The sequence below is a fragment of the Homo sapiens genome, chromosome 3, assembly GCF_000001405.40.
Source record: "Homo sapiens chromosome 3, GRCh38.p14 Primary Assembly".
Taxonomy (NCBI): domain Eukaryota; kingdom Metazoa; phylum Chordata; class Mammalia; order Primates; family Hominidae; genus Homo; species Homo sapiens.
Genome location: NC_000003.12, coordinates 51911970 through 51922390, shown reverse-complemented (window position 1 = coordinate 51922390; position 10421 = coordinate 51911970).

Below are 10421 nucleotides of genomic sequence, written 5' to 3'. Positions count from 1 at the left end.
TCTCTCTTCTTTTTAGGTATTGCAATGACACATATGTTACACATTTTTGAAATTGTCCCTCAGTTCTTGGGTGCGTTGTCTTTTTTTCCTTTGCATTTTAGTTTGGGAAGTTTCTATTGACATATTTGCAAGCTCAGTCGTGTCAGGCCACAGGTGAGCCCACTGAAGACATTCTTCATTTCTGTTGTTACCACGTTTTTTAATTTCTAGCTTTACCTTTTGATTCTTTCTTAGAGTCTCCATCTCTCTACTTATATTACCCATCTATTCTTGCATTACTTTTTCCATTTGAGCCCTTCACATAATAATCATGGTTACTTAAAATTTTCTGTCTGATAATTTCGATATCTGTGTTACATCTGAGTTTGATTCTGATGATTGCTTTGTCTCTTCAAATTGTGTGTATGTGTGGTATGTTTTGCCTTTTAGCATGCTTGTAGTGTTGTGTTGAAAGCTGGACATGGACTGAGTGTGGTGGCTCCTACCTGTAATTCTAGTTCTTTGGGAAGCTGAGGTGGGAGGATTGCTTGAGGTGAAGAGTTCAAGACCAGCCTGGGCAACATAGTGAGACCCTCATCTCTTAAAAAAAAAATTAACAGGGCCTGGTGGTGCATGCCTGTAGTCCTAACAACTCAGGAAGCTGAGGTGGGAGGATTGCTTGAGCCCAGGAGTTCGAGTCTGCAGTGAGCTATAATTGTGCCACTGCACTCCAGCCTGGGAGATAGAGCAAGATCTTGTCTCTTAAAAAAAAAAAAAAAAAAGCTAGACATGTATCAGGTAATAGGAACTGAGGTAAATATGCCTTTAGTGTAAGGATTGATGTATTTATGTTAATCTGCTAGGATTTGGGCTGTGGTTTTCTTTTGTTTGTTTTTGAGACAGTCTCACTCTGTTGCCTACGCTGGAGTGCAGCGCACTGCAACCTCTTCCTCCTGGGCTCAGGTGATTCTCCTTTCTCCTGAGTAGCTGGAACCGTGGGCGCGCACTACCATGCCTGGCTAATTTTTGTGTTGTTTTGTATGGAGATAGGGTCTCACCACGTTGCCCAGCTAGTCTTGGACTCCTGGGCTCAAGTGATCCACCTGCCCCGGCCTCCCGAAGCATTAAGATTACAGGTTTGAGCCACTGCGTGCAGCCTGGGCTGTGTTTAGAATCCATCACTCCTAAACGTTTCCTCATGTTCCTCTGTTATCCCTTCCTCTCACCCCTCCTGAAGCCCCGCCTCCATCTTCAGGAAATCACTGATCTGCTCTCTGACATTTTAGACTAGTTTACATTTTTCTAGAATTTTATATAAATGAAATTATATAGTATATATATATTTTTTACTGATATATAAAAGTTGTACATGTTTATGGGGTACATATAATATTTTAATACATGCATAGAATGGGTAATGATCAAGTCAAGGTAATTGGGATATCCATCACTTCAGACATTTGGGAACAACCTGGATGGAACTGGAGGACATGTTAAGTGAAATAAGCCAGGCACAGAAAGGCAAATATTACATTTTCTCACTCATATGTGGGAGCTAAAAAAATTGATCTCATGGAGGGAGTGAGTAGAATGATGGTTACCAGAGGCTGGAAAGGGTCGGGGATGAGGAAGAATGAAGAATGGTTGGTTAATGGGTGCAAAAATGCAGTTAGCTAGGAGGAATAAGTTAAAGTGTTAGCATAATAGGGTGGCTATAGTTAAGAATTTATTGCATGTGGCTGGGTGCTGTGGCTCACACCTGTAATCCCAGCACTTTGGGAGGCCGAGGTGGGCAGATCACCTGAGGTCAGGAGTTCGAGACCAACATGGCCAACATGGGGAAACCCTTTCTCTGCTAAAAGTACAAAAATTAGCCAGGCGTGATGGCGCGAGCCTGTAGTCCCAGCTACTACTCGAGAGGCTGAGGCACAAGAATTGCTTGAACCCAGGAGACGGAGGTTGCAGTGAGCCAAGATTAAGCCACTCCACTCCAGCCTGGGTGACAGAGTGAGATTCTGTCTCAAAAAAAAAAAAAAAAGAATTTATTGTATGTTTCAAAATAGCTAGAAGATTTGAAATGTTCTCAACACGAAGAAATGATAAATGTTGGCCGGGCGCAGTGGCTCACGCCTGTAATCCCAGCACTTTGGGAGGCCGAGGCAGGCGGATCACAAGGTTGAGACCATCCTGGCTAACACGGTGAAACCCCATCTCTACTAAAAATACAAAAAATTAGCCGGGCGTAGTGGCGGGTGCCTGTAGTCCCAGCTGCTCGAGAGGCTGAGGCAGGAGAATGGCTTGAATCCTGGAGGCGGAGCTTGCAGTGAGCCGAGAGGGGGAGACTCCATCTCAAAAAAAAAAGAAATGATAAATGTTTTAGGATATACTCTTTTCATCTGTATCCTTTTTTTTTTTTTGGAGACGGAGTCTTGCTCTGTCGCCAGGCTAGAGTGCAGTGGCGCGATCTCAGCTAACTGCAACCTCTGCCTCACGGGTTCAAGCGATTCTCCTGCCTCAGCCTCCCCAGTAGCTGGTACTACAGGCGTACGCCACAATACCTGGCTAATTTGTTTTGTATTTTTAGTAGAGACGTGGTTTCACCATGTTGGCCAGGATGGTCTGGTCTTGATCTCCTGACCTCGTGATCCGCCCGCCTTGGCCTCCCAAAGTGCTGGGATTACAGGCGTGAGCCACCGCACCCGGCCTCATCTGTATACGTGCAAACAAAATTTATTTTGAGATTAATTCCTGTTACTGCATGTATCAATAGTTTATTCCTTTTTATTGTGGAATAGTGTCCCATTGAATAGGTGTGCTACATTTTGTTTATGCGTTCACATTTGTGTTGTTTTAAGGTTTTGGCTATTACAAATAAAGTTGCTATGAACATTAGTGTACAAGTCTTTATGTACACATGTGCTCCCATTTCTCTTGGGTAAATACTTAGGACTGGAATAGGAGAGTTACGTGGTAGGTATATGTAAAATGTTTTAAGAACTGTCAAACTTTTTTGCACAGTTGTACCATTTTTCATTCTCATAAGCAGTCTATACGAGTTTGTTCTCATCTAAAGAGTTCAAGTTGCTCTACATCCTTACTGGCACTTGGCATAAGTCTTTGAAATTATAGGCATTTTAATATGTGGGCCATAATAGTTTATCGTCCTAGTCTGCATTTCCCTAATTACTAAGGATTTTGAGTATCTGTACATAGGCTTGTTTACCATTGAGATATCTTCTTTGGCTCCCCCTTCCTGTGCGGTTGCTTGGAAACTCTCCAGGCAGTAAACTCTCATTTGTTTCCTTTCTCTTGGGGATTACTGTCCTTCATTGCCTGGTTTCTAGAATCTTAAAAATCATTGTTTTCTAGATTTTGTCTAGTTTTTGGTTGTTTCAGGTGGGAGAGTAAATCCAGTTACTGTTACTCCATCTTGGCTGGAAATGGAAGTCCCATCCTTTTACTTAAATTTTTTTATACACATAAAATTTACAATTTTAACTATTTTCATTGTACATTAAGTACTTGTTTTACTTTTAACATACCTATATAATTACATTTTAAATAGATTTATTATAGAGAGCACACAGTTTGTCTTTTTAAAAAAAGCCAATCTGTTAATACCTCCTTTTAATTGGCATATTTAGACTGGTTACATTCAATATTATTACTGATATAATTTAAGACTACAGTTTATCATTTGTTTTCTGTGAGTTCCCTCTGTTATTTATTTCCCCTTCTGTTCTCCATTCCTGATTTCTTTTGGGTTATTTGAATATGTTTTAGTGTTCCATTTTAATTTAACTTTTGGATTTTTGAATGTGTCTCTTTGTATTTTTTTAGTGTTTTCTCTCAGAGTTACTATATATTTATACATATAGCATACCTTCACAATCTGTTAGAATTAATGCTTTCTCTCTTCAAGTGACATGTAGAAACTTCACAACCATACAAGTCCCTTTATCTTCCCCTCTTATGTAATAGTTGCCATGTGCATTTCATTTGTATAATTTGAAAGCCCCACCAGACAATGCTATAACAACACTCAAACATATTCTAAAGAACTTAAAAGACTACTACTTTTAGTCTATTATATTTACCTAGATAACCATTTCTGTTGTATTGTCTTCATTCCTGAAGTTCAAAGTTTCCCTCTGGTATTATTTCTCTTCTTCCTAACTTCCTTTAGCATTTCTTTAGGAACAGTTCTGCTGGCAATGAATTCTCTTGTTTCCTTCATCTGAGAATGTCTTTATATCACCATGATTTCAAAACAATTTTTTTCCCTAGATATAGAATTCTGGGTGACGGCTCTCTTGAAGCATTTTAAAGATGTTGTTCCACTGTCTTTTGGTCTCCATGATTTCTGATGAGAAGTTCGGTCATTTGAATCATTATTTCTCTATAAGTAATGCATCATTTTTTCTCTGGCTACTTTTAAGGTGTTTTGTCTTTTCTTTTCTTTCTTTCTTTCTTTTTTTTGGTCTTTGGTTTTCAACAGTTTGATTATAATGTATCTGGGCATGGTTTTCTTTGAGTATATCCTTTTTGGTATTTGCTGAGATTCTTAAATCTGTAGATTTATGCCTTTTACCAAATTTGGGAAATTTTTAGCCATTATTTCTTTAAACAATTTTTCTCCTTCCTTCCTAGGTCTTGAATAACATGAATGTTAGGCTTTTTGATACTGTTCCACAGTTCACTAGGGCTCTGTTTATTATTTTTTTATTTCTCTGCTGTTCAGATTAGCTAATTTCGATTGCCCTATATTCAAATTCACTGATTTTCTGTCATTGACATTCTGCCAATGAGCCTGTCAGTGGATTTTTTTATGTCAGCTATTGATTGTATTTTACAGTTCTAAAATTTTTTTTTTTTTTTTGAGAAGGAGTCTCGCTCTGTCGCCCAGGCTGGAGTGCAGTGGCACCATCTTGGCTCATTGCAAGCTGCAAGCTCCACCTCCCAGGTTCACGCCATTCTCCTGCCTCAACCTCCTGAGTAGCCGGGACTACAGGCGCCTGCCACCACGCCCAGCTAGTTTTTGTATTTTTAGTAGAGACGGCGTTTCACTGTGTTAGCCAGGATGGTCTCGATTTCCTGACCTCGTGATCCGCCCGCCTCGGCCTCCCAAAGTGCTGGGATTACAGGTGTGAGCCACCGTGCCCGGCACAGTTCTAAAATTTCGATTCAGTTATATTTCTTTATTTTTAAATTTTTGGTGGACCTGTCTGCCCTCCTGAGGGAGAGGGAGGGCAGGGCCCTGGTTATATTTTTGTTTTGTTTTATTTCTTTGCTGAGAGCTCCTATCTTTCTATTCATTTAAAAAGAGTTCAGCCAGGCGCCGTGGCTCATGCCTGTAATCCCAGCAGTTTTGGAGGCCGAGGCAGGCGGATCACCTGATGTCAGGAGTTTGACACCAGCTTGATCAATATGATGAAACCCTGCCTCTACTAAAACAATGCAAAAATTAGCCAGGCATGGTGGCAGGCACCTGTAATCCCAGCTACTCGGGAGGCTGAGGCAGGAGAATCACTTGAGCCTGGGAGGCAGAAGTTACAGTGAGCTGAGATCACGCCATTGTACTCCAGCCTGGGCAACAAAATCAAAACTCTGTCTCAAAAATAAAAAAAAAAAAGGGTTCACCTTTGCTTCATGGATAATGGTGATGATAACTGCTTTAAAGTCTTTGATATTTCCAACACGTGAGTGACTTGGGAATGGCAAAAACTGATTGTCTTTTCCCTTGGGAATTAATCAGATTTTCCTGGCTCTTCACGTATTGAGTAATTTTGGATTGCATCCTAGACAGTTTAAATATTACATCTCTGGACAATGTTTAGTTTTTATTTTAGCAGGCAAATCAGTTACGTAAAGGTCAGAGGCTTTGTCTTGCTTTCCGTGGATGATGATTCTAATGTCAGTGTCAGTTTTCAAAGCCTTTTCTATGCTGTTTGAGTCTGCCCTTGCATGTGCTACGTAGGGGTTAGTTTGGGACTTGGTAGTGGTTTTTTGTTGTAGTTCATTTTTCAAAGGATGCTGTAAACCAAAAGCATCCGAGACAAGTCTCAGTTTAGGAGTTTATTTTTCCAAGGTTAAGGACATGCCTGTGACACAGCCTCAGGAAGTCCTAATGACATGTGCCCAAGGTGGTCGGCCTACAACTTGGTTTTATACATTTTAGGGAGTCATAAGACATCAATCAATACATGTAAGATGTACCTTGGTGTGGTCTGGAAAGGCGGGACAACTGGAAGTGGGGGCTTCCACGTCATAGGCAGATTCAAAGATTTTCTGATTGGCAATTGGTTGAGTTATTATCTAACGACTTGGAATCAATAGAAAGGAATGTCTGGGTTATAAGGGGGTTGCAGAGACCAAGGGTTTATGATGCAGATGGAGGCCCCAGGTAGCAGGCTTTAGAGAAAATAGATTGCATGTGTTTCTTATCAGCCTTAAAGAGTCTGTTCTATCAGTCTTAAGGTCTGTGTTGATATTAATAGTAATGAGGCATGTCTGACTCCCACTTTCCATCATGGCCTGAACTAGTTTTACAGGTTAACTCTGGAGTGCCCTTGCCCAAGAGGAGGGGTCCATTCAGGTGGTTGGGGGCTTAGAATTTTATTTTTGATTTATTATGTGCAGCTAAGGCGTGAGCCTGAGACATGTGTTTGTTATACACAGAATTAGGGGATTCCTTTTTCCTTATTTTCTGAACTTTCCTCATTCTTCCACTCCTAGAGATTATGTTCTTGGTTCCTCTGGCCAGAAATATGGATTTGTCTCAGAGTTTTAGACCACCACACTTCCATGCAGTTCCATGTGACTAGAGCTGCCTTCAGGGCAAAGGGGCAAAAGAAATGAGAAAAAATTACTTCTTTCAGACTACAGGGGTCCCGTCCGTTTGTACATTTACTCTAGCTAGGGAGATGATTTTTCAGGTGCCCATAGCACCACCACCGGGACAATGCGGTTCTGTGACTGGGCCTGGCCTTGGGGTAGGGCTAAGAGAAAAAAGAGAAAGAAAGAAAGAAGAAGGATGCTGTCCATACTCTCTAGCATGAGGAAGTGTCTTTTTCTGATCCTCTGATCCAAAATAAGGACTTTCTTTTGGATTATTTACTTTCACACTTGTGCGGTTCTGCATTTTAGGCTATCTTTGACTTTGACTTGACTTTCTTCCCCAATCTGTGTGCTATTGCTACTTTTTCTTTCCTTCTTCTTCTTCTTCTTCTTTTTTTTTTTTTGAGATGGAGTTTTGCTCTTGTTGCCAAGGCTCAGTGCAATGGCCCGATCTTGGCTCACTGCAACCTCCACCTCCCGGGTTCAAGTGATTCTCCTGCCTCAGCCTCCCGAGTAGCTGGGATTACAGGTGCATGCCACCATGGCCGGCTAATTTTGTATTTTTAGTAGAGAGAGGGTTTCTCCATGTTGGTCAGGCTGGTCTCGAACTCCCAACCTCAGGTAATCCGCCCGCCTCTGCCTCCCAAAGTGCTAGGATTACAGGCGTAAGCCACCGTGCCCGGCCGCTATTGTTTACTTTTCAGAGTCTAGTTGACTTTGTATTCTGTCCAGAGTTTTCCATTGTAATCACTGGGAAAGATTGTCTGTAGTGTACTTACTTCATCTTGCCAGCACTGGATTCAATGGTATTTTAAAGACATTTAAAAAGATGATCTTTTCTGTTTGCCCACATAATCACCATTGTGAGGCTTTCATTTCCACCTGCTGCTCTGAGCTTCCACCCGGGACCTTCCTTTAGCATTCTGGCAGTGTGAGTCTGCTGGTAATAAATTATCTCAGCTTTTATATTTTGGAAAATGTCTTTATTTCACCTTCCTTGAAAAGGCGAAGGTATAATTTATATACAGTGAAATGGAGAAATCTTAAATGTGAAGTTAAATGAATTTTGACAAATGCATATATCTCAAATCCACACCTCATCAAGATATAGAACACTCATATCATCCCAGAAAGTCCCTTTGTGTCCCTTTCCAATCAATCTCAACTCCCAGAGGCAACCACTGTTCGAGATTTTTTTTTTTTTTTTTGAGATGGAGTTTGAGATGGGCAACTTTTGTTGCCCAAGCTGGAGTGCAATGGTGCAATCTCGGCACACCACAACCTCCGCCTCCCAGGTTCAAGCCATTCTCCTGCCTCAGCCTCCCGAGTAGCTGGGATTACAGGCATGCGCCACCATGCCTGGCCAATTTAGTATTTTTAGTAGAGATGGGGTTTCTCCATGTTGGTCAGGCTGGTCTCCAACTCCAGACCTCAGGTGATCTGCCCGCCTCAGCCTCCCAAAGTGCTGGGATTACAGGCGTGAGCCACCACGCCTGGTCCATTGTTCATGATTTCTATCATAATATATTAGTTTTGCATTTTTTTAAAAAACAGGGTTTTGCTCTGTCACCTAGGCTGGAGTACAGTGGCTTGATCCTGTCTCACTGCAGCCTTGACCTCCCAGGCTCAAGTGATCCTCCCACCTCAGGCTCCCAAGTAGCTGGGACCACAGGTGCACACCGCCACACTTGGCTAATTTTTTTTTTTTTTTTTTGAGACAGAGTTTCGCTCTTGTTGCCCAGGCTGGAATGCAACGGCATGATCTTGGCTCACTGCAACCTCCGCCTGTCAGGTACAAGTGATTCTCCTATCTCAGCCTCCCAAGTAGCTCAGATTACAGGCATGTGCCACCACTCCTGGCTAAATTTTTTGTATTTAGTAGAGATGGGGTTTCACCGTGTTAGTCAGGCTGGTTTTGAACTCCTGACTTCAGGTGGCCCACCCACCTCGGCCTCCCAAAGTGCTGGGATTACAGGCATGTGCCACCACACCCATCCTTGGCTAATTTTTTTAAAAACATTTTTTGTAGAGACAGTGTTTTCCTAGGTTGCCCAGGCTGGTCTCAAACTCCTGGGTTCAAGAGATCCTTGGCCTCTTAAAGTGTTGGGATTATAGGCATGAGCCACCACAACAAATGTGCATGTTTTAAATTTGATATAAATAGAATTATACAATATGTTCTGTTTTGCATTTGGCTTTTTTTGCTCAATATAATGTCATGGATAAGATTCACCCATGTTATTGCATGTATCATTAGTTCTTGGCTATTTATTGCCCAATTGTATTTTATTTTATGAATATACCACAATTTGTGTATCCATTATCCTATTTATAGATATTTCACTTGTTCCCAATGTTTGACTATTATGAGTATATGCTATGAGCATTCCTGTACAAGTCTTTTTGTGAATATGTTTTCATTTCTCTTTAGTAAATACCTAAGAATGAAATCGCTGAGTCAGAGAGTAGGTGTAGGTATATGGTTAATTTTAAAAGAAATAGCCAAATGAATTTCCAAATTGGTTGTATTATCAAAAATGTATGAGAGTTTCATTTGCTCTACATCCTTGCCAACATTTGGTATTCTCCTTTTCTTTTCTTTTTTCTAATTTTGGCCATCATGATGGTGGCTTAAATTTTGTCTTTCCCTGATATCTAATGATGTTGAGCAAATTTCATGTGTTTGGAAGCCACTTGAATATCTTCTTTTATAAAGTATTGGTTTAAGCCTTTTGTCCATTTTTATTAGTTTGTTTTTTATTACTGAGTTGTAAGAGTTCTTATATTCTGAGTAGGAGTCCTTTGCCAGATATAGGTATTGTGAATATTCTTTCCTCAGATTGTAGCTTAAGTGCTGTCTTTCTTTCTTTTCTTTTTTTTTTTTTTTTTTTGAGACAGAGTCTTGCTCTGTCACCCAGGCTGGACTGCAGTGGCACAATCTCAGCTCACTGCAAGCTCCGCTTCCCAGGTTCACGCCATTCTCCTGCCTCAGCCTCCTGAGTTGCTGGGACTACAGGTGCCCGCCACCATGCCCAGCTAATTTTTTGTATTTTTAGTAGAGGTGGGGTTTCACCATGTTAGCCAGGATGGTCTCGATCTCCTGACCTCGTGATCCGCCCGCCTCGGCCTCCCAAAGTGCTGGGATTACAGGCGTGAGCCACCGCGCCCGGCCGAGTGCTGTCTTTCGATAAGCAGAAGTTTTAATTTGGACAAAGTCTAATTTATCAAATTTTTTTTGAGACAGGGTCTCACTCTGTCATCCAAGCTGGAGCACAGTTGTGCAAACATGGCTCATTGCAGCCTTGACCCCTGGGCTCAAGTGATCCTCCCACTTCAGCCTCCCTGAGTAGCTGGGACTACAGGCGCACGCCACCACGCCTGGCTAATTTAAAAAAATTTTTTTGTAGAGACAAGGTCTCAACATGTTTGAGTCTGGGCTGGTCTCAAACTCCTGGGCTCAGGCAATCCTCTCGCCTCAGCCTCCCAAAGTGCTGGGATTACAGGCATGAGCTACCACGCCTGGCAAATTTATCAATATTTTATACTTAGTGTTTTCTGTTTGCTAAGAAAACAGTTTTTGTCGACTCTTGGGCACAAAATAATTC